The 25,084-nt window shown below is 39.9% G+C and overlaps 1 protein-coding gene across 3 annotated transcripts in view, besides 3 other annotated features; it reads left to right on the top strand.

Moving 5' to 3' along the window:
• The window catches only part of SEC63 (SEC63 protein translocation regulator), a 90,453-nt gene extending 76,289 nt beyond the window's left edge, over nt 1-14,164 (top strand). For all 3 annotated transcript variants that reach the window (XM_047418131.1, NM_007214.5, XM_047418130.1), the window contains 4 exons: nt 670-771; nt 5,258-5,356; nt 9,008-9,112; nt 10,073-14,164. In XM_047418131.1, coding sequence (XP_047274087.1) covers nt 670-771; nt 5,258-5,356; nt 9,008-9,112; nt 10,073-10,216 — 450 coding nt within the window. In that variant the 3' untranslated portion in view covers nt 10,217-14,164. The remainder of the gene's footprint in view (nt 1-669; nt 772-5,257; nt 5,357-9,007; nt 9,113-10,072) is intronic.
• Nucleotides 3,789-3,989: a silencer, noted in NCBI's record as "peak6008 fragment used in MPRA reporter construct". NCBI's record gives its function as "represses an SCP1 promoter by STARR-seq MPRAs in K562 erythroleukemia cells {active_cell/tissue: K562}" and the evidence as "EXISTENCE:reporter gene assay evidence [ECO:0000049][PMID:32103011]".
• Nucleotides 20,866-21,435: an enhancer, noted in NCBI's record as "H3K27ac-H3K4me1 hESC enhancer chr6:108181689-108182258 (GRCh37/hg19 assembly coordinates)". NCBI's record gives its function as "activates a minimal SCP1, AML or CMV promoter by ChIP-STARR-seq in primed H9 embryonic stem cells {active_cell/tissue: H9 hESC(primed)}" and the evidence as "EXISTENCE:reporter gene assay evidence [ECO:0000049][PMID:30033119]".
• Nucleotides 21,436-22,005: an enhancer, noted in NCBI's record as "H3K27ac-H3K4me1 hESC enhancer chr6:108181119-108181688 (GRCh37/hg19 assembly coordinates)". NCBI's record gives its function as "activates a minimal SCP1, AML or CMV promoter by ChIP-STARR-seq in naive H9 embryonic stem cells {active_cell/tissue: H9 hESC(naive)}" and the evidence as "EXISTENCE:reporter gene assay evidence [ECO:0000049][PMID:30033119]".

Genomic DNA, 25,084 nt, shown 5'->3' with positions numbered 1-25,084 from the left:
CATTCATTAAATCAACAAATCATTATTTATTACCTGTCACATCCCAAGGCTGTCTAAGATTAAAGATAATACAAAGCCAAATGTGAAACAGCTTCAGGTCTTGAATGATAATGTAGGCTAGTGGGGCAGGCAGATTTGTAAATAAATACTATAGTACATATGAAATTACACACATCTTATGCAAGGTACATAAGGAGGGAGTGATCAGTTCAGTCCTGAGGTAGAAGGAAATTTATGGGAGGCTTTACTCAGGAGTTCATACTTTGGGCTTTAGTTGGTCCTAAATAATAATGAGTAGGCAGAGAAAGGGAGAAATCAAAGTCCAAACAGGGTTTAGGAGGAGTGAAATAGTTTGGTAAGTTCAGAGAAGTGTAGGTAGTTTGAAATGACTAGAATAAAAAGCACAAGGAGGGAGGCAGTGACAGGAGACCAAAGAGAGGCAGGCTAGGGTCAGATAATGAACGGCTATGTAGTTGATACTACAGTGGTTAGATTTAATATATTTAAAAAGGCATTGTAAGGATGAGCAGGGAGATGATCAGATTTGTGAGACTGAACTTGTTCTAATCCTAAGTAGTTAATTAGCATTGTCAGGAATAATACCTGGAAATCCTTAAAGTGATAAAACACATACTAGATTTTAAATATTTTAATTTTTTTGTTTACTAGGAGTGGCAAGAATTACAACAAAGCATACAGCGAAAAGAGAGAGCTCTATTGGAAACCAAATCAAAAATAACACATCCTGTGTATAGCCTTTACTTTCCTGAGGTGAGTTATATACAGGCTACTGTGTTCCTTATTCCATTCACTTTCTCCTCAGGGATTTGTCAGTTGACTTTTAGCCCTCTGTCGTGTGTATTAGTTCATATGTGCTAAATGTGGTCTATCCTGAGAGGCCATATTTTTAAAAGGGAATATTACAATAGGTATTATACTTAGTGAACGTGTTGCTTATAAAAGAGATTGTTAGCTTCTTAAGTATTTCTGTGGTTTTCTTTGCTTCTGTCTTTTCTGTGCCCTGATTACTGAGTGTTATGTGTAATGGTGATTTCTCATTAGCAGATTAGGCAGTCTTCATCAGACAAATGCATATTTTGCCTTTGAATACTTAACTATTATGAATCTCTCACCTCTGCCAAGTTTTAAATCGGATGAAAAAATTCTTAAATTTTCTCTCTGAGGATCCTGCTGGCGACATGGAACCATTAGAATTGCTCTGACCCTGGTCATTGTTGTCCCAGTCCATGGAAATGTGTGAGCCCATGGCTGTGGGACCAACTGTGTTCTTGGCTCTAATAAATAAAGTTCCATAAGAGCTTGATCATAACTGAGCCCCGGGCTCAGGACAGGTCATTATAGTGCTATTTGTTGCCTTGTCCTTGTTTACTTTGTAATTGCAGCCTGCTCAACTTTCGATCTCCTTGATAGCCTGTGTTGTTCATCTTTCAAATTACCTTGGGATTCCCTTGACATTTTGCATTAGAGTATGATTCTGTCTGGAGTAGAGGTCAAGAACTGGTTCCCCCAGTTCGGGAAACTGTTCCACAGACTGCCTCACAGCTTTGCCACAGAACCTTCTGCTCACCACTTGTGTTTGGCAGGTGATTTCATGTATAAATCTGCTTTCTGCTCGAGGATGTCAATCTAGAGTTTCTGGGGACTGCTTAAGGCAAATTCGTAAATAATTTGGCTCTCTTAGTAATAAATGAGTGGCTCTGCACAGACTGTTGTTTTGACTTGGAGAGAAGTCTGCCCAGGATTCCATCTTAATGCACGTGCTGATCTTCTGGCATGTCCTGAGCTTTAGTCCATCTGTTAGGGGCATTGTGCCCATTGCAGAGGTAGCCTGCCAACACCAAGCATCCTGAAATGAAGCAAGTAAATTCCATTCATTGATTGGTATAAAAAGTGCCATGGGGTGCTCAAAGCTGCCTAGTGTGTACCCATGTAACAGACAGTTTCATTTTAGACCATGCTTAGTTAATAAGAGAAACATTCATTCACTCCCTCAGAACATTTTATTAGTGGCCAAGTGCTGTGGCTCATGCCTGTGGTCCTAGGCTACTTGGGAAGCTGAGGTTGGAGGATCACTTGAGCCCAGGAGATTGAGGCTGCATTGAACTGTGATTGTGCCACTGAACTCCAGCTTGGATGACACAGTGAGACCCTGTCTCAAAAAAAAAAAAAAAAAAGATAAAAATCATTTTATCAGCAAAATGCCTTTTTCAAATTTAATCTGCATCTGCATGGTAAACATTTCAGATCATTATTTATCAGATAAAATGTATTTAGGGCCGAGTGCAGTGGCTCATGCCTGTAATCCCAGCACTTTGTGGGGACGAGGTGGGTGGATCACCTGAGGTCAGGAGTTTGAGACCAGCCTGGCCAACATGGCAAAACCCCGTCTCTACTAAAAATACAAAATTGGCTGGGCATGGTGTCACATGCCTGTAATCCCACCACTCAGGAGGCTGAGGCAGGAGAATTGCTTGAACCCAGGAGGCGGAGGTTGCGGTAAGCTGAGATTGTGCCATTGCACTCCAGCCTGGGCAACAAGAGTGAAACTCTGTCTCAAAAATAAAAACATTAGCCGGGCGTGGTGGCGGGTGCCTATAATCCCAGCTACTTGGGAGGCTGAGGCAGGAGAATTGCTTGAACCTGGGAGGCGGAGGTTGCAGTGAGCCAAGATTGTGCCATTGCATTCCAGCCTTGGTGACAGAGTGAGACTGTCTCAAACAAAACAAAACAAATGAACAAACAAAATTTATTTAGGATCTTTCTAACCTCTCTACCTGTCTACATTTCCGTGTTTCTTACCTAAGTAACCTAACTACCAAACTACCCACTTAGTAATATTTGACTTACATGTTAGTGAAATTCGTCTATTGTATTTAATGCGTTAAGAATGGTTAGGAATCTCACAAAAGAAAAACAATTTTGTCTAAAATACAGGTAACTCATAGAAATCTGTTTCACTTTTAACATGTGCATCACTAGGCACAGGTGTAGTGCTGTTGATTGATATTCACTGGCTTCTTAATAAATATTCTTTTTTTTTTTTGAGCTGGAATTTTGCTCTTGTTGCCCAGGCTGGACTGCAGTGGCGCAATCTTGGCTCACTGCAACCTCCACCTCCTGGGTGCAAGTGATTCTCCCACCTCAGCCTCTCGAGTAGCTGGGATTGCAGGCATGTGCCAACACACCCAGCTGATGTTGTATTTTTAGTAGAGACAGGGTTTCTCCATGTTGGTCAGGCTGGTCTTAAACTCCCGACTTCAAGTGATCCACCCGCCTTGGCCTCCCAAAGTGCTGGGATTACAGGTGTGAGCCACCATGGCTGGCCCTAATAAATATTCTTGAGTGAATCTCATTGTAATTAAATAGGCTGAGAGGTTGGAGGGAAAGGCATTCTCTAAGTGGGGAGGTAAAGAAGTGCATAATCTTTAACATAATCCTGTGCTGCTTACATTCCCTACTTGTTGTAATGATGTTTCTGACAAATGTCAAAATGACTTAAAAAAGAGGTGATATTGTACCTCATGTCACTAATAATCATAACTGCCACCTATTATACTGCATGTGCTAGGCTTTGTAACATATATTTTTATTTGTATTCTCTCAGATCATCTTTACAACATGGCCAGAAGTAGGCACTGATTGTTGAGAAGAAAATGAGATTTTAGGGAAGTGAAATAACCCAGGTTTCTGTGTCTTTAAAACAGATATTGTCAAACTGCAGTCTGCAGGCCAGATCTGGCTGCCTTCCTGTTTTTGTAAATGAGGCTTTATTGTAAATAAAGTTTTATTAGAACACAGCCACACTTATTTTTTTCATGCTGCAAGGGCAGATTTGAGTGGCCGCAACAGAGGTGTTATTCCACTTTGAGGCTGTTATGTATTTACACACATATGTTATGTATACAAATATGCCTACAGTGGTAGTCCTAACCCTCGGTTTAAGCAGAATTTAATTTTCTTGTTAAGTGCCACTCATGTCACCGTGTACTTGTCATTTATTTATTAGACTTTTTAATGTTGCAGTGCTTTATCTCCGAAGGTATTTAAACAGAAGAGTTTTTAGTTGTGCTTAGTAGCGTTTGAAAGATAAACCAAATTTTAATCTATTTTTATAGTTAAAATTTTAGCAGCAATTTTAGTTTAAAAACATAAATATGGGCCAGGCGTGGTGACTCATGCCTGTAATCCTAGCACTTTGGGAGGCCTAAATGGGAGGATCGCTTGAGCCCAGGAGTTCAAGACCAGCCAGGGCAACATAAATGAAATCTTGTTTCTACAAAAAATGCAAAAATTAGCCAGACGTGGTGCATGCCTGTAGTCTCAGCTACTTGGGAAGCTGAGGTGGGAGGATCACTTGAGCCCCAGAGGCAGAGGTTGCAGTGAGGTGAGCTGAGATGGTGCCACTGCACTCCAGCCTGGGTGACAGAGTGAGACCCTGTCTCAACAAAAAACAAAACCAAAAAAACCCACGTTTTCTCAAAGAAACTTTCAGTAAGATGATTTTTTAACCATTTCGGACAATTGAGAGTTTAGAATAGTCTAGTACTATTTTGGTTAAATAAATATTTAGAACATCCTAGAGTTTATTTTGTTTTAAGCTGTAAAACATTTTTCTTTAAACTGTTTTAGAAAGATACTTCCCTACCCAACTCTTAAAACAGGTGTTAATAAGCAGGTGACTAAATAGTGAACTGAGGTGTGCTGTAATAGAGCAGTTGTTGCTGAATGCACGGAGGTTTCGTGCTTTCAGACTTCTTGGCCTTCTAAAATATATATATACACACACACATATATGTATATGTATATATGTGTATATATATATATATACACACACATATATATATGTTCCTTCCACTCCAACTTTGTGGCTTTTGCTTATTACTAGGTAAGAGTACTAAGATTATTTGCTACATGCTATTGTAATAGTTGTATATATTTAGAATAATGCTTGTTACTTAAGGTTAGTCAGGGTTTTTAATATGAAGGCCAATCAATAGGTTTTAAGGAGCTATTGAAATCCCCAAAATTGCATACAAAATGCTTTTAGGCAATGGATCTACAAATGTTAAGAACAGCTTATTCTTTCAGTAAATATTCATTTGAATACCTATTTTGTACCAAGCAGTTTGTCAGTGCAGAGGATCTCTAAGATAAGAGAGGCCAAAATTATATTCTTTCTAGTTCTTTCTGATTATTTATACCCCTCTTCTTTTTTTTTTTTTTTTTTTGTTTCCAGGAAAAACAAGAATGGTGGTGGCTTTACATTGCAGATAGGAAGGAGCAGACATTAATATCCATGCCATATCATGTGTGTACGCTGAAAGATACAGAGGAGGTAACTATCAAGCAACATGATTTCAGTGTTTAACAAGGCACAGCTGTCACCATCATGCTGCTTCATATATCTTTTTTTTAAAAAGTTTATCATATTTAGCATATTGTATTCTATTCGTTGCCTGCATTTTGTAACTGTTCTCTATTTTGGGGTGAGCTCATTGGAAATTTATAAATAATTGTTAAAGGTAGGCAACTTAGTCAATGTTTTAAAAATTTGTTCTCAGCTTGTTTTGGGAGTTTTCACTGTTAGTGTCTAAGAACATACACCTTTCCTCCTCCTCTCCAGAATTTAGTGATAGAATTTTTGTTCTTATTGGATTAGTGTTGAGTATTAGATCTTTTGTCTTGAAAAATCTAAGAACTGATGATGTGGATTTCTTGAGTGGAATTTTTGATTACGTGGTATTCACTGTTAATGACATCAGTAAAGCAGCATTGTGATGAACATATTTACCCTTGGGAACTGCATTTTTGTTGTTGTTTTTCATGTTTTTTTTGTGTGTGTGTTTTTTTTCTAGGAAGAAGGTTCTGTCTGCCTGTACTTGGTGGACAAAAGCTTTTCAAGATAGCCCTATGATGTTGATTTTTAGTACATATTTTTTAACCCTTTATAATCAAGTGGTAAATGCATGAAATAGGTTAATAATAAATTTATAGAGGTCGAATTGATGGGCTGGAGGCTCTGTATGTTTGTAATTTTGGTCTATATTGCTAGATATTTATTTCTCTATAGAAAGAATGAATGTCTAAATATGCCTAATACCTCTCAGCATGTCAGACATTTTGAATATCATTGCTAGTTGGAAAGGTGAAAAATAGCATCTTAGATCTTCATGTTATTTTTTCCTCTGATCTTTTTTTTGAGACAGGGTCTGGCTGTGTCACCCAGGCTGGAGTGCAGTGGTACAATATCGGCTCACTGCAACCTCCGCCTCCCGGGCTCTCCCACCTCAGCCTCCCAAATAGCTGGGACTACATACGTGCACCCCGTAAAAATTAGCCACGCCCGGCTAATTTTTGTATTTTTTGTAGAGACAGGGTTTACCCATGTTGCCTAGGCTGGTCTCAAACTCCTGAGCTCAAGAGATCCGCCTGCTTTGGCCTCCCAAAGTGCCGGGATTACAGGCATGAGCCACTGTGCCTGGCCTCTCTGATCTTTTAAGTTTTAAAACCTATTGAAAAGTTAACAAGCATGGTATCATGAAACCTCCCTAGATCCCCACCCGTATTCACCAGTTGTTTACATTTAGCTGTTACTTGTTTTATCTTTCACTGTATATGTATGTACAAAACATGCACGCGTGTGTATTTTCCCCTGAACCATTTGAGGTACTTGTAGACATCATGACATGACACCCCTAACTACTTGACATGTATCCCTTAAGAACCAGGGCCTTGGGCTGGGTGCAGTGGCTTACACCTGTAATTCCAGCATTTTGGGAGGCCAAGGCGGGCAGATCAGTTGAGCCCAGGAATTCAGCAGCAGTCTGGGCAACGTGGTGAGACCCTGTCTCTTAAAAAAAACAAAAACAAAAACAAAATCCAGGACCTTCTCCATAGGCCTACTACAATGATTATACTCAGGAAATTTAACATTGATGTGGCATAATTATCTAATACGCAGTCTGTATTCAGATTTCCTCAACGATTCCACTAATGTCTGTTACAGTTTTTGGTTTTATTTTTAAACTCAGGATCTAATCAAGGATCACACATTGTAGCTGGGTGTGGTGACTTGTGCCTGTAGTCCCAGCCTAACTCAGGAGGCTGAGGCAGGAGGATCACTTGAGCCCATGAGGTTGAAGCTGCAATGAGCCATGATCATGCCCCTGTACTTCAGCCTGGGCAACAGAGTGACATGTCTCGAAAGAAAGAAAAAAAGAGATTTTTACATTGTATTTGGTTGTCATGCCTCTTTAGTGTTGAATACTTTCTTGTTCTTGTTCTTTTTTTTTTTTTTTTTTTTGAGACAGAGTCTCACTGTGTCGCCCAGGCTGGAGTGCAGTGGCATGATCTCGGCTCACTGCAAGCTCCGCCTCCCGGGTTCACGCCATTCTCCTGCCTCAGCCTCCTGAGTAGCTGGGATTACAGACGCCCGCCACTGCACCCAGCTAATTTTTTATATTTTTTTAGTAGAGACGGGGTTTCACTGTGTTAGCCATGATGGTCTCAATCTCCTGACCTTGTGATCCGCCCGCCTTGGCCTCCCAAAGTGCTGGGATTACAGGCGTGAGCCACCGTGCCCGGCTTCCTTGTTCTTTTTTAATCTTTGCATGCCGCTGACATTTTTCAAGAATCCAGGCAAGGTGTTTTGTAGAATATCATTTAATACGAATTTGTCTCGTTGGTTACTCATTATTCATCTTTGTGTTTTTGGCAAGCAAACTATGTTGGTGATGTAGTTCTTAGGTCAGAAGTACAGTATATGACTTTGCCCTATGTTGGTGATATTAATTAAGGTTGCTCATTTAGTTATGGTTTTTCTCTATTGTAAAGGTATTTTTCTCCCCCTCTAATCTGTGGGGTGATATTTAGGCCCTGTGTGAATGTCCTATTCTCCAACAGTGTTTTACCCAATCGTTTTAAACATATGTTGATGATTCTTTTCTGAATCAATTTTTACTCTGCTCATTCTATTCAGTGTAGTTTTTATTTCTCTGAAGAGTGAAACTTAACCTTCAGTGTGTTTGAGTTGTCTTTTTAATGTGTCTGTTTGTGACCATTGTTCACTTTTGTTGAGTCTTAAAAAGTTGTTTTGGGATCTTTTTTTAATGTTAAGAAATCAGCCCTTTGTGATATGTGTTGCAAGTATTTCTCCCCAGTTTGTTGTACTATTCTGGTTGTTTCTACCAGATAGAAATATAAATACCTATTTGTTTATCCATTTTCTTACTTATTTTTTGTAGTATGATTTAAAGAATTTTTTTTTAATAGTTTCTAGGTTTGTGTTATAGTTAGGCCAAACTGAGATTAATTTAAGAAAAAAAGATTCCTTCATGATTTTTTCTAGTTTTTTTAAAACTGGCATATTTTAATATTTAATCTTGACTGTAAAATCTGGATTTTGGAGATTGGAGCAGATCACTAGAGCAGATCACCAGAGAATACAAATGTCATTTTTAAAAAATTGTTCTTTTGTCCAAGTGGAATAGAAACTTTTTAAGAGTTTGTTACTATTTGTATTTGAAGTTTATGATTTGATGATAAATAAAATATCTTCTTGACCTTTGGCATTGGGCGTTTATTCTAGAAATAAGAAAATTTGGCAGGAAGTATCTCCTATCTAGTGAAGTCTGTTGTTTTATTCCAACATTTCATTTACTTATGCTTTTATACCTGCTTAATTTCTTCAAGATGATAGCATAGAATTTGGTTGCTTTAAGTACTGCTTTCTTGAATTGTGGAGAGACAAATTAACCTCATCAGTTCTGCATAATTTGATTTCCTCTTTGGGAGGTATTTATAATATGTAACATACATTTCGCTTTTTTTTATTATTGTTTATAAGGACTTTAGTAACATTTATTAGGACTTTCTGTATCATCTGCAGAAAAAACCTGGCTGTTAAATACTGTGGTCTAGGAATTTTAGGGAGTGAGCTGTTTCCTCCCCATAATACAGATTTTTAAGTGCTGATTTTATCTTCTAGGTAGAGCTGAAGTTTCCTGCACCAGGCAAGCCTGGAAATTATCAGTATACTGTGTTTCTGAGATCAGACTCCTATATGGGTTTGGATCAGATTAAACCATTGAAGGTAAGAATAGTGACTCTTCAATAAATAAGAGTTTTCTGTATAAATGTTTAATATACTAGGAAAACATTTCTAGTTTTGAAATGTAGAGTTATGGAAGGAAAAAGAAGTCATCTCATGCTTTATATATGATATACTTGATGGACTACTCTTTCAATAATAAACTTAAGGTTTTAGGTTTTTAAGGAGTGTAACAGTTTAGAACATTGAATATAAATTACTTTAGGGATGCATTTTAATGTGCTGTAACTTTATAAGGCCTCAGCAAATGGGTTCTTTTTTCTTTAGAAAGGCACTTTTTTTTTTTAAACCACAGATTCTATTTGGAGTGTATATTAATTTCTGAAACTAATTTATTTTTGTCATCTTAGAGCATACACTTCTGTAAGTATCATTTGCAGCACACTCTGATCTTTGTTTACCAATTCACTTGAGCTTTTTATAAAAGGTGTCCTATTGTATTAGAGAGATGGTGCTAAAAGTATTATTGCATTATAAAGGGTAAAAGTAGCCAGTAAATGCGAACCTCTTTTTTGTTCCATGAGGGTTCCATATTTCTTTTATTAACTGTAGAATTTTACATCACAAGTCTAGAGACTGCAAAATGTCTCGGGTTTTTCTTCCTTAAAGCAGAAGGCTTCTGTTAAGATATGACTCAGTGTTCTTGCTCAAGAATCACAATTATTTTATGCCATAGAAATACATTCATAAATAGTATAACATACAGAATCAAAATATCAAACTGTATTAGAAATTTAACTACATTTACATATTGTTAAATTTACTTGTTTTATTTCTGGGATGAAGTGTCTGTTCTAAATGAATGAGTTGAATTTAGAATTGTGTCCATAAAAAACTATTTCTTTGTAATTGCTGTGGTCAAAGAAAACCTTTTGTTTACCAAGATTTCTTCCATTATTTCTCCCCAAATTTCTGATGTCTACATTTAATTCTTCTTTCTAGTTGGAAGTTCATGAGGCTAAGCCTGTGCCAGAAAATCACCCACAGTGGGATACAGCAATAGAGGGGGATGAAGACCAGGAGGACAGTGAGGGCTTTGAAGATAGCTTTGAGGAAGAAGAGGAGGAAGAAGAAGATGATGACTAAGCAGTACTCTGAATGGACCACAGTGTTTGCACATATTTGCAATTTTTTGCTGTTTTGGAAGTGTATCATAAACCAGAAACAGTACAGAACTGATGTTGAGGGAGGTGTAGTTTTTTTACTCTTGAAATGGGTGCATAATATAACTAGGCAGTGGCGGTGCCTTGGTACAACCTGAAAAATGTTAAGGCTTATTGAAACCTTTCAAGTAGGGGATGGTACATTTATTTCATCTGCAAATGATAATAAATCCTTTGTTATTATAACTGTCCAGAAGTGTGGGCTATGTATTATCTGATCAGTCTATGGTCCCAGTAAAAGTAAAGATGCAGGAAACACAGTCTGTAAATGAGCGACTTTTCTTTGTTCAGCTTTAGTTTTAGCAAACACCACAAATATGTTTTAAGTAACATCGCTCAAGTTTAAGTAACATCGCTCAAGTTGATAATCTCTTGATAAGCTCTGTTGTTGACATTTTGCAGTGATACAACAGCTCCACTCATAGATTTAAACTTTTATTTTTACTTATCTTGGTCATAAGTTGGCATTCTCTCACATTCCACATGATATAGAGGGCTACGTTTTGGAATTTTCCTTTTCTTAATTGCCCAGAGTTATCAGACAGATTATAAAAATGGCTTTTAATGGCTTAAACCATTTCTAAACCTCTATCTTAGCAGATCAATGCAGGATCTAATTCTTTTGATAAGTTCTAGCTCTAAAAGTGATAGTGGGACTGTATGTTTTCTGATACTGGTGGCTTATGTTATTAAACCTTTTTTAAAAAAGGTTCACTCTAAAAGCTGAACTACATCCTTAGTTTTCAGTCTACTTGACTCTATCAGGAGCTTTTTAAGGAAAGTAAGTATAACATGCAAAGGAAGCTTTTTTTGTATTCATTTTGGACTCCTGTCAATAAAAATAGAAGTTTGTTGACTCGTTTTATGTTTCAATGGTGTGTGTCTTTTTACTATCAGGACATAAATAGGGCAATCCACTTCTTTATTTTTCAACTAAAGATTGAATAGTATTGTACATTACTGCTAAAGTGACTGCTATTTCTGTATACTGTAGAAAAACCCAGGAGTGAGAGGGATTTCCCCTCATAGTACAACTGGAAGGATAGTGCTTGTAAAGAGTAGAGATGTGTACATGATGAATCATTGAGGGAGGGTGGATATTTTTATTCCTAGATATGGAGGAAACATAAGTCTGTAGTATTATAAAACTGATTGTAATAATTCTTTCCTATCAAAATCTCCATAGGTCAAAATATTGTTGGAATACTAAAATTTGCAACCTTGTTTACTTTAAAAGGTTGCCACTTTCAGTGCAGAATACTACCGGCATCTTGTTACTGCAATAGTTGGAAATAAAATGTGAAAATTAGCAAAACCATGAATGGTTTTTTTGGTTCTAAATTTAAGATGTAATATTTCCTATAAAAGGGTGAAAGCAGTTTCTTTCTCTATAACCTCAATCACCAGTTTAGTGAGAGCCTTTCTTGGCAGGCAGGAGGCAGTGTCACTGAGGATTTTTTTCATTTACTTCATTGTACAAGTAGGAGGGTGGGTTTAATTTTCAAATCAGGTTCTGCTGTGAAGCACCAGTGTCTTGAGGCAGCTACTGATTACCTAAGTGTGGTGGCAGGGGGTAAGCCAGCTGGTGTCAAGTGAAAGGAGGGATTAGAGAAAACAGGTGTGGCACGAAGGCAAGGAAACTGAGCAGACAAGACAGAACAATGTGTAGAATGCATATTTCCTAGTTTTCTTGAAAGATTTCAAGAAAAGTTGTTTTTTTTTTTCTAGTGGCTACTTTGCCTTAAAGAGGCTTTATAAGTTCATTCACACAGCTGGCTTCTCTGGTTTTAAGATTCTGGAGAGGATGATAACCTAGTAACACCACAGTGCTTAAAAAAAAAAAAAAAAAAAAAACTACCATCACCAGAAAATTCCACCAGTTTGTTTTCCTTTTCTCTTTGTGTGATGTGTATGTACTTCCCAACTAAGTAAAATAAAATTTCCTCTAGTGAGTGCTTTAGGTAACCTCTTTCCATATGGCAGTAGTGAAAGAACTGAGCCTTCAGTTGATAGTTCTTCTCTCTCCAGCAAGTCGCTAAACTCCACATCCCTTCGTTTTTCCTCTGGAATGAGAATAACAAACTATCCTAGTTTGCATTTAATCTAATGGAAACTTGAGCAAAGTTTCAATTTTCTTCCTATAAAGAAACTGACATTTTGTCAACAATTGATGAGCCTATAGATCATACAGTGTATAGGAAGTGAAATTGAAACAGTTAAATTATGTGATATTTTTCTCTAATTGGTAAAGTACCTATTAAAATACAGCTGTTCATGAGGAGACTTACCACAATTCAAAGTGTAGCAGTTGTGTATTTTAGCATTATAATATTTGATTGAGGCCCTGAGGTGTTAATATCTCAATCTCAGAGTTAGATGTTCATGTCCTTTTTGAATTTTTTAAACATTTTTCATAATTTTTTTTTTAAGTTAGGGAGCACATTGAGTGAAGTTCTCTGTGTAGAACAATACCTTCTGCTCTGCTTCTCCCAGCTTTCACTGAGGGCTGGAAAAGGACAGGCCTGTCCAGCTGTACTGTCCCACTGTGTATGGGGAAGCTCAGGCTCTGGTGGAAGCAGGGGGCGTGGATGTCAAACAACTGATGTGGAAACAGGGAGGGAGAGATATAATGAGGCTCTCTAGGCATGTTATTTTTGACCACAAGTTTTGTTCAGTTTGCTTCAGCCAATCCAAACCATATACTAGAGTGTTCTGTAGTCACAATTCTTATTTCAAATGTAATTCAGCACCTTACATAATTTTTGAGAGGTTGTCATTCATCACATATTTACTGAGTTTCTATGTGCCAGGCTCTGTGACTGGATACTGGAGCTATCAAAATGAAAAAAATAGTGTTAAGAACTCACTCGCTGGTGTTAGAGCAGGTAGATGAGTGGCAATCCATTTAAATCCATTTGCCTTGGCTATTATTTGGAATGCCTTTTTTTTTTTTTAGTCTATCTACTGTAGGCAGAAGAATTATTTCTTTAGGGGCTAGCTGTTTATTTTGCTGGCCTTTTTTTCTCTCTTTCTCTTTTTCTTCTTAAGACGGAGTCTCGCTCTGTCCTCCAGGCTGGAGGAGTGCAGTGGCACGATCTCAGCTCACTGCAACCTCCGCCTCCCAGCTTCAAGCGATTCTTCTGCCTCAGCCTCCTGAGTAGCTGGGACTGCAGGTGCATGCCACCACACCCAGCTAATTTTTTAATTTTTAGTAGAGATGGGATTTTGCCACGTTGTCCAGCCTGGTCTCGAACTCCTGGCCTCAAGTGATCAGCCCTCCTCAGCCTCCCAAAGTGCTGGCATTACAGGCATGAGCCACTGCGCCCAGCCTGTTGGGTTTTTTTGGAAAAAAAACAAAAACAACAAATCATCATCCTTTCCTTTAAAATGTTTTTTTTTTTTTAAGAAACAATTTTCCCACAAACGGTCTGATTTAACTCCATGAAATCCTCTATTTAGACTGCCTTAAAGTGAAATAACTGTTGGTGAACCATAACATTTTGCCAGCTGTGTAGTGATTAGTCCAAATATGTCTCAAGAAGTTAGCACCAAGCATTCTCATCCATTTAAACTTGATGCTAGGGCTATTTTGCAAAACTTAAAAAGATGCGATCTTGTACATATTTCTGTAACCTGAGCTGAAAACCCAAATAACAATCATTGACATACTTTAGGGCTATTGTTTCAGGTGGGGGTGTATACATCCCAGGGGCGTGGAGATGATCAATCCATTGAGGAAGTATTAAGATGATTATTTGTATTTAATCTCATCCTTTTAAATTTCTATTTTTGTGTGTTTTATAATGTACATAATATATTGTACAATTGTACACTTCTATTATTTATAAATAAACATTTATTGGTGCATTAATTTTTTTTTTTCTGATTTGGGTCCATGATCAAAACATTTGGGCACCACTGCTTTGTGGTATTGATAGGGTGACATTTGACACTCACCACCTGAGATCACAGAGTGATATACTCTGGAGTTGGTGGGTTGGCATTCACTGTGTGCAGCCCTACTGTAGCTGCCAAGAGCAAAGTGAGACTTTTATGAGATAGAGCTGAGTAGGTCTGGAGGTGGGATTGATAGGCAAGGGGAGGGTTCTGCACAACGGTTGTCTGTGGAGTGCAGGTGGTGCAGGTATGGAGCAGCAGTGCTGGGGACGACTTGCTGGGACTTTGAGCAAATCACAGCCTGTTGCTGGTCCTGGCAATCAGTGACTGCTGCAAATGGAAGGTGAGTGTGGGAAGGACTGGCCACTCTGTTCAGCACGAGGTTGTTTAGCGTTAACCTATCAGCCTGGGTACACAAAGGGAGCTGTAGCCCTCATACCTTACCCGAAACACCTGAGGTTTACACTTTAACATCTGGATAATAGCAGCAATGGACTTCAGTGTGAACAGATTCCATTAAGAGTTAACTTCAAGCTATTTCTCTGTATTTTCCAGCCTCGTTCCAGTAGAGGGCGATAGGGCTGTAATTTTCTTTAACAAAGAATGGTGTGTTTCGTTTCAGACTAAAAGCCACGATTAAAGAAATGCTTTGTAATTTATTTGTATCTGCACCTTCTGGGATTTCCTCCCTCTCTTTTGATCTTTTATGTTTCCCCCTAACCTTTTTCTTCTTTACATGTGTCCTTTGTTATTTATTTATTATTTTTTTAGAGGCAGGGTCGTGCTCTATCGCTCAGGCTGGAGTACAGTGGTGCAATCATAGCTCACTGCAGCCTCAACTCCTGGGATCAAGTGATTCTCCTATGTCAGCCCCCTCCGAAGTAGCTGGGACCACGGGCACTAACCTGGCTCATTGTATTTATTTATTTAGAGACAGGGGTCTTGCTATGTTGCCCAGGCTGGCCTCGAACTCCTAACTTCAACCCTTGGCCACCCAAAGTATTGGCACTATAGGCATGAACCACCGCACCTGGCTGTGTGTCCTTTAACCCATTAAATTTACTGTCTAGAAACATTAAGTCCCTTTGCAACCAACTCCAAAAGACAATCCATATGTATTCATTGTGCTGGAATTCCAAATTGCATTTGTTTGCTTGAGAGAGGTGGACAATCAAATAGGACATGGTAATTCCTTAACTCTACAAAATCTAACCTGTTTGCCTGATAGGTGTCAACTATTAAGAGTCCAGAGTTTTTACATGCAAGCTAACAAGTTAACCTGCCAGTGTCATGGATGCCGACAAAACACAGAAGACTCCAAAGACACAGGCACAGCAGGTGGCATGAGCTTCATGTTCCCCATCTGTTCCTGTTGTCTTCCAAGTTCCCACGGAGGCGATGTGGAGTGGCCAGGCAGATGCTGTTCATATCACAGCTGAGGAACTCCAAGCTTGGGAGACCTAACCCTGTCAAGCCTGCAAGCAACCCTGTCTTGATCTTATCCTGGACAGCAAACAAACTCACCCTCTTTCTGGGAGGGAGACACTGCCTTCCAAGGCTGTTTGCCATACAGACACCCTTGAAAAGATAGTCTAGAACAAAAGCCTGTGTGCCTTTGATCACAGGTGTGCAGAGACATGAGAGACTCATGGAAAACTGTCTCTCAACAGCTGGAATTCAATACATATAGGACCTGTATTTACAAAGAGATATTATAGAACACTGATTTTCAAAGGGAATGAGGTCTATTTTGTGAAAACTAGGACCACTTAGGCAGTTTCCTTGAGAATAATATACATTTAAACTCCTTGGAAATGTTTTATTGTCAAAGATAGTTTTATTGTCAAAGATAGTTTTATGTTGCAACTGAAGATAATTTACTTACCCGTGCACCAACTAAAAAATATCCAGAATTTTCTAAGTTGAATCCAGTCCATTGTGACAGTGCAAAACAGGGTATCTACAAGAAGGAACACTATACCTATTCTACATGGTAACCATAAGAGATTTTGATTATCGCTTTCTGCACTCCTTCCCCAAACCTTCCACCCCTCCCCACAAAATACAAAACCCATACCCTTCCTTTCTGGACAAACTGAACATTTTCCTCCAAGGAAGTCTGGTTCCTTGTAGAATAGTTGCCATTTCTTTAGTGTTCTTTTTCCAATATGCTGCCCAAACTTAGGGAGGCCTTAGACCTTTGGTTGAAATAACTGAGGAATCTTTGAAATACTATTTTGAACAGTCTTCCTGGTAGGTAGTTGTCCTTTGGGGGGAGATGTGTTTTAAACTACAAAAGTTCATTTAGAAATGATACACAGTAGGGGGGATCCAATTCATTGATGGGTATTTTGATTAAAAAAGTAAGGCACGTGACAAAAATTCAATGAGAGACTTAAAAAATCCTTATCTTCCAACCAGGTCTGACGATTCCCAAGCAGACATCGTCATTCAGTAGTGTTCGTGGGATCGTGGTAAACTCCCTCATTCATATGCATTAGCCTGCTTCTGTATCTTTGTCCAATTAGTCTGTGTGCTTTATAATCACATCCAACGTTTCTGCAGCTTTTTTATTTCCCAATTCTCTGCCAGGTTCTTGGGACTCCAGTCATTGGCTAGGCTCTATGTCACTTTCCAAGTTCCTCCCAAAGCTTACTGTTCCTCTTCTTGACCTGACAGCATCTATTAAACAGGGAGAGAGCCAGGAGAGGTGGCTCAAGTTGAAAGATGGCAAGGCACCCCCTTTCAAGTATCTTAGAGTCACTGCTCTTCCTGCAGCCAGCTCCTGGTTCAGAACTCAGTAGTCACTCTTTTTCCCACGATCCCAATAAAATCTTGCCCCACCTACCCATCCCTACTCACAAAACACTGATCTGGGTCTATTATCATGGAAATTATAAAGATTAATGTGATTAGCAGCAAAGTGCTTTTGAGAATGGGGGATGAAACTGTAGTGTTATGATCCTCAGCATTATTTCTTTATACACTGAAAACCCCCACATCTTTCAAGTCTGCTGACTTAATGACAGGGTATCGCACTAAATGTCAGGAGTGACACTTCAGGAATAGCACACTGTAGACACAGTTTATGTTCGATAATACTAAAACTGGGTTTTGAGTAGAATTTTGAATGTTTCAGTGTGTTAAAAGGAGTTCTTTTTAGAGTGAGAAATCTTAAAAAAAAAACAAAAAACAAGCCTTTCTCTATGTCACTCAGTATGATTTCTAAAGTTTTCCTTGCATTTGCATCTGATTGAACCAAGTCCCTCCTCCCTAATCCCCTCCACAGCCTAATAGAAGCAGAGCTGGAACGTAGGGATAGAAACAAAACCCCTGACTTTAGTCTTGAGTATGCTACCCATGGAGGTCGACTACATGGGGTAGACTACTGCCTCCATGGGCAACATTATCATGGGAAAGGAATGAAAGCATGTATGTAAGTGCTGCATACTTGTATTTATGGGGCACCCATGCTACAGCTCTGATTTGGAGCAAATTGCATTCCCTGTTGTGCCCACAGAGGGTCAGACATTGATACGAAGGGGGGATAGAGAAACAAAGAACCAGAGACGAGGAGTGACTTGGCACTGCTGGTGAACTGGAGCTGGGACCCTGGGGTCTTGGATCTTCCCCTGCAGCGTGCTGCACCCTGTTCCACAACCCTCATTCTCCATCTTTCCATTTTGGAAGGTCAGGAAGGAAACCAACACACACACACACACACACACACACACACACACACACACACACACACACACGCAGCCCTTATTAAAGTGGAAGCTGGCCAGATCAGGTCTAGTGTGACCACCTGCTCTATCATAGCCCACCACAGCCACTAATGTTCTTGGAGAATGGGCCCATGGTTATACTTGAGTCAGATCCCTCCCTCTATCTCAGAACCCCCATGCTGTGTTGAAATGAGATCCCATTGTGCCAAGATATGTGGGCTTCCAGGTTAGGTGACTTCATCTTAGCCAAAAGGGTGAAGGGGGACCAGGCATGGTGGCATGCACCTATAGTTCCAGCACTTTGGGAGGCTGAGGTGGGAGGATCACTTGAGCCCAGGAGGTCGAGGCTCCCATGAGCTGTGTTTGCACCACTGCACTGCAGCCTGGACAACAGAGCTAGACTCTGTCTTTAACACACACACACACACACGCGCGCGCGCGCAAAGGGACCTTTAAGATCCATCCCAATCTAAAGTGGTGCAGCTTATGCTTGCTGAAGAAAAGTGATTCAAAGTGTTACAGTTCTAGGTAACTGCCTTGACAGAAGCAATACATTCTTCCCCAGCCTTGAATGTGATTACCTAGAGGTAGAGCAGGGCTTGATCCCCTGGGTGTCCAATCTTTGACCTTACGAGGCCAAGATGGTGGCATAGACTGCCCAGTCTGTCTTCCTTGCATCTATTCACCCTCTTTTTTCTACTGAGTGGGGATTCTAAAGGATCTATTTGAGGTTCTAATTCTAAACCTTAGCAGGCTTCTCACTGGGCCAAATATGTGTTTCTTGGAGAATTTCTTTGATTGTATTTAAATATTACTTTTTACGTCAGGACTGAGGGCGGAAGCTGAGGGAAAATGAAGACATCCGTTCTGTGAAGAATGGATTTCTAGAAATGACTATTAGGTTTAACTTCGAGCACTCTAAAATTTCTTCTTGCAAATCTTTTCTGCTGCCTTCCAGTTACTAAAATGCATCCCAGCAATATAGCAACACACAATAAGATGAAAACACTTTGGAATTTTCCAGGACAGTGCTTACAGCCTGCCTGAATTTTTTGCATTTGCTTCTGTTTCCCACCAGTGTGGGAACTCTGAAAGTTGCTGAAGTCTAACTCGCTGGATGGCATATATTTATTGAATTGAAATTTGAGCAGGCATTCTGAGCTAGCAGAATGAATATTTGAAGGTTAGATTCCTCCTATTGCTGCCAATAAGCCTTTCCCATTCAGTCTAAATAGTCTACTATTTATTCACATGTGCACCCATGGTGGAAGAGTTGATGGACAAGGACTTCATTACAGTTACTTCTTGGATGTCACCTCTGGAGACAGAAATTTGCTGGGAAGTGCTCTTATCCTAAGAACAGGCAAAGTTTCTGCTTCAAAGAGCAACTGGATCATTGCCCAGTGTCTGGGGTATAACCTGTGGCTTTCTGCCTGGGCAAGGCAACCTAGCCTAGTGACCCAGTTGGCATCATGATAATTTCTCCAGCCTACTGTGTGCAAGTCATCCAACACCTCTGAAGCTGAAATCCCTGACCCCTGAGAGCCAGCATATCTCTGCTGCTGAGCAATTAAGGATGATACAGAGCTGGGGCAGGGTGGGGGAGGAGCCTGTGGTACAGGTGAACACTTGTGCTCAAATTAGCATATAAACCACAGCAAAATTCAGGGATATTGGTGAAAGAACTGATGGTCTTTCTCTGATTTCTCTAAACCTAGAGGACCATTTACAGACAGCATTTTTGCTGTGAGACCACAGACCCACTCCAGCATGACTAGATTCCTGCTGATTGCAGAAAAATCAACCTGAAGTTAATATTCTTAGGCCTTTTTATTTGGCCCATCTAAGTGGGATTAAAAGAGAATGAGAATTAATAAAACCAATATATAAAAAATACAAAGTGAACATAATGGTCAATGGTGAAAGACTGAGAGCTTTTTCTCTAAGGTCAGGAACAAGGCAAGGATGCCCACTTTCACCATTTCTATTCAACATAGTACTGGAAATTCTAGCCAGAGCAATTAGGTGAGAAAAAGAAAGAAATGGCATCCAAGTTGGAAAGAGAGAAGTAAATTATCTCTGTTCACAGATGTTATCACCTTATGTGCAGAAAAACCTAATGATTCCACACACAAAAAGAAAAAACTGTTAGACCCAATACATGATTCAGCAAAGTAGCAGGATACAAAGTCAACACATAAAAATTCAGTTGCATTTCTATACATTAACAATGAAAATCTGAAAAGGAAATTACAAAAATTATTGATATGGTTTGGCTGTGTCCCCACCCAAATCTCATCTTGAATTGTAGCTCCCATAATTCCCACGTGTTGTAGGAAGGACCCAGTGGAAGATAATTGAATCATGGGGGCAGTTTCCCCTATCCTGTTCTTGTGATAGTGAGTAAGTCTCATGAGATCTGATGGTTTTATAAGAGATTTCCTCTTTCTCTTGGCTCTCATTCTCTCTTGCCTGCTGCCATGTAAGATGTGCCTTTCACCTTCCACCATGATTGTGAGGCCTCCCCAGCCACGTGGAACTGTGAGTCCATTAAACCTCTTTTTCCTCAAAATTAAACCTCTTTTTCTGTAAAAATTACCCAGTCTCAGGTATGTCTTTACTAGCAGCATGGAAATGGACTAACGTGATTATATTTACAGTAACATCAAAAAGAATGGTGGGTGGATCACTTGAGGTCAGGAGCTTGAGACCAGCCTGGCCAATATGGTGAAACCCCATCTCTATTAAAAATACAAAAATTAGCCGGATGTGGTCGTGGGCACCTGTAATGCCAGCTACTTGGGGGACTGAGGCAGGAGAATTGCTTGAACGCAGGAGATGGAGGTTGCAGTGAGCCAAGATTGTGCCACTGCACTCCAGCCTGGGCAATAGAGCAAGACCCTATCTAAAAAAAAAAATAATAATAATAAAAAAAGAATAAAATACTTAGGAATCAATCAAAGAGGTGAAATACTTATACAATGAAATCTACAAAACATTGCTGAAAAAAATTGGGTTGAAAGACAAAATTATTAAGATGTCAATACTATCAAAAGTAATCTACATATTCAATGCAATCCCTATCAAAATCTAGTAACCTTTTTGTAGGAGTAGAAAAAATCATCTTAAAATTCATATGGAATTTCAAGGAACCCTGAACAGCCAAAACAATCTTGAAAATGAAGAACAAAGCTGGGGGATTCACGTTCCTGATTTCAAAACGAAATACAAAGCTACATAATAAAAACAGAGTGGGCCAAGATGGCCGAATAGGAACAGCTCCGGTCTACAGCTCCCAGCCTGAGTGACGCAGAAGACGGGTGATTTCTGCATTTCCATCTGAGGTACCGGGTTCATCTCACTAGGGAGTGCCAGACAGTGGGCACAGGTCAGTGGGTGCGCGCACCGTGCACGAGCCAAAGCAGGGCGAGGCATTGCCTCACTCGGGAAGCGCAAGGGGTCAGGGAGTTCCCTTTCCTAATCAAAGAAAGGGGTGACGGACAGCACCTGGAAAATCGGGAAAATCGGGTCACTCCCACCCGAATACTGCGCTTTTCCGACCGGCTTAAAAAACGGCGCACCACGAGATTATATCCCCCACCAGGCTCGGAGGGTCCTACCCCACGGAGTCTCGCTGATTGCTAGCACAGCAGTCTGAGATCAAACAGCAAGGCGGCAGCCAGGCACGGGGAGGGGCGCCCACCATTGCCCAGGCCTGCTTAGGTAAACAAAGCAGCCGGGAAGCTCGAACTGGGTGGAGCCCACCACAGCTCAAGGAGGCCTGCATGCCTCTGTAGGCTCCACCTCTGGGGGCAGGGCACAGACAAACAAAAAGACAGCAGTAACTTCTGCAGACTTAAATGTCCCTGTCTGACAGCTTTGAAGAGAGCAGTGGTTCTCCCAGTACGCAGCTGGAGATCTGAGAACGGGCAGACTGCCTTCTCAAGTGGGTCCCTGACCCCTGACCCCCGAGCAGCCTAACTGGGAGGCACTCTCCAGCAGGGGCACACTGACACCTCACACTGCAGGGTACTCCAACAGACCTGCAGCTGAGGGTCCTGTCTGTTAGAAGGAAAACTAACAAACAGAAAGGACATCCACACCAAAAACCCATCTGTACATCACCATCATCAAAGACCAAAAGTAGATAAAACCACAAAGATGGGGAAAAAACAGAACAGAAAAACTGGAAACTCTAAAAATCAGAGCGCCTCTCCTCCTCCAAAGGAACGCAGCTCCTCACCAGCAACGGAACAAAGCTGGACGGAGAATGACTTTGACGAGCTGAGAGAAGAAGGCTTCAGACGATCAAATTACTCTGAGCTACGGGAGGACATTCAAACCAAAGGCAAAGAAGTTGAAAACTTTGAAAAAAATTTAGAAGAATGTATAACTAGAATAACCAATACAGAGAAGTGCTTAAAGGAGCTGATGGAGCTGAAAACCAAGGCTCGAGAACTATGTGAAGAATGCAGAAACCTCAGGAGCCGATGTGATCAACTGGAAGAAAGGGTATCAGCAGTGGACGATGAAATGAATGAAATGAAGCGAGAAGGAAAGTTTAGAGAAAAAAGAATAAAAAGAAACGAGCAAAGCCTCCAAGAAATATGGGACTATGTGAAAAGACCAAATCTACGTCTGATTGGTGTACCTGAAAGTGATGGGGAGAATGGAACCAAGTTGGAAAACACTCTGCAGGATATTATCCAGGAGAATTTCCCCAATCTAGCAAGGCAGGCCAACGTTCAGATTCAGGAAATACACAGAACGCCACAAAGATACTCCTCGAGAAGAGCAACTCCAAGACACATAATTGTCAGATTCACCAAAGTTGAAATGAAGGAAAAAATGTTAAGGGCAGCCAGAGAGAAAGGTCGGGTTACCCACAAAGGGAAGCCCATCAGACTAACAGCGGATCTCTCGGCAGAAACCCTACAAGCCAGAAGAGAGTGGGGGCCAATATTCAACATTCTTAAAGAAAAGAATTTTCAACCCAGAATTTCATATCCAGCCAAACTAAGCTTCAAAAGTGAAGGAGAAATAAAATCCTTTACAGACAAGCAAATGCTGAGAGATTTTGTCACCACCAGGCCTGCCCTAAAAGAGCTCCTGAAGGAAGCGCTAAAATGGAAAGGAACAACTGGTACCAGCCGCTGCAAAATCATGCCCAAATGTAAAGACAATCGAGACTAGGAAGAAACTGCATCAACTAACGAGCAAAATAACCAGCTAACATCATAATGACAGGATCAAATTCACACATAACACTATTAACTTTAAATGTAAATGGACTAAATGCTCCAATTAAAAGACACAGACTGGCAAATTGGATAAAGAGTCAAGACCCATCAGTGTGCTGTATTCAGGAAACCCATCTCACGTGCAGAGACACACATAGGCTCAAAATAAAAGGATGGAGGAAGATCTACCAAGCAAATGGAAAACAAAAAAAGGCAGGGGTTGCAATCCTAGTCTCTGATAAAACAGACTTTAAACCAACAAAGATCAAAAGAGACAAAGAAGGTCATTACATAATGGTAAAGGGATCAATTCAAAAAGAAGAGCTAACTATCCTAAATATATATGCACCCAATACAGGAGCACCCAGATTCATAAAGCAAGTCCTGAGTGACCTACAAAGAGACTTAGACTCCCACACATTAATAATGGGAGACTTTAACACCCCACTGTCAACATTAGACAGATCAACGAGACAGAAAGTCAACAAGGATACCCAGGAATTGAACTCAGCTCTGCACCAAGTGGACCTAATAGACATCTACAGAACTCTCCACCCCAAATCAACAGAATATACATTTTTTTCAGCACCACACCACACCTATTCCAAAATTGACCACATAGTTGGAAGTAAAGCTCTCCTCAGCAAATGTAAAAGAACAGAAATTATAACAAACTATCTCTCAGACCACAGTGCGATCAAACTAGAACTCAGGATTAAGAATCTCACTCAAAACCGCTCAACTACATGGAAACTGAACAACCTGCTCCTGAATGACTACTGGGTACATAACGAAATGAAGGCAGAAATAAAGATGTTCTTTGAAACCAACGAGAACAAAGACACAACATACCAGAATCTCTGGGACGCATTCAAAGCAGTGTGTAGAGGGAAATTTATACCACTAAATGCCCACAAGAGAAAGCAGGAAAGATCCAAAATTGACACCCTAACATCACAATTAAAAGAATTAGAAAAGCAAGAGCAAACACATTCAAAAGCTAGCAGAAGGCAAGAAATAACTAAAATCAGAGCAGAACTGAAGGAAATAGAGACACAAAAAACACTTCAAAAAATTAATGAATCCAGGAGCTGGTTTTCTGAAAGGATCAACAAAATTGATAGACCGCTAGCAAGACTAATAAAGAAAAAAAGAGAGAAGAATCAAACGGACGCAATAAAAAATGATAAAGGGGATATCACCACCGATCCCACAGAAATACAAACTACCATCAGAGAATACTACAAACACCTCTACGCAAATAAACTAGAAAATCTAGAAGAAATGGATAAATTCCTTGACACATACACTCTCCTAAGACTAAACCAGGAAGAAGTTGAATCTCTGAATAGACCAATAACAGGATCTGAAATTGTGGCAATAATCAATAGCTTACCAACCAAAAAGAGTCCAGAACCAGATGGATTCACAGCCGAATTCTACCAGAGGTACAAGGAGGAACTGGTACCATTCCTTCTGAAACTATTCCAATCAATAGAAAAAGAGGGAATCCTCCCTAACTCATTTTATGAGGCCAGCATCATTCTGATACCAAAGCCGGGCAGAGACACAACCAAAGAAGAGAATTTTAGACCAATATCCTTGATGAACATTGATGCAAAAATCCTCAATAAAATACTGGCAAACCGAATCCAGCAGCACATCAAAAAGCTTATCCACCATGATCAAGTGGGCTTCATCCCTGGGATGCAAGGCTGGTTCAATATACGCAAATCAATAAATGTAATCCAGCATATAAACAGAGCCAAAGACAAAAACCACATGATTATCTCAATAGATGCAGGAAAGGCCTTTGACAAAATTCAACAACCGTTCATGCTAAAAACTCTCAATAAATTAGGTATTGATGGGACATATTTCAAAATAATAAGAGCTATCTATGACAAACCCACAGCCAATATCATA

The sequence above is a fragment of the Homo sapiens genome, chromosome 6 (assembly GCF_000001405.40).
Source record: "Homo sapiens chromosome 6, GRCh38.p14 Primary Assembly".
Lineage (NCBI taxonomy): Eukaryota > Metazoa > Chordata > Mammalia > Primates > Hominidae > Homo > Homo sapiens.
The sequence above is the reverse complement of the archived record's forward strand: the minus strand, read 5'-3'. Positions and strand labels throughout refer to the sequence as shown.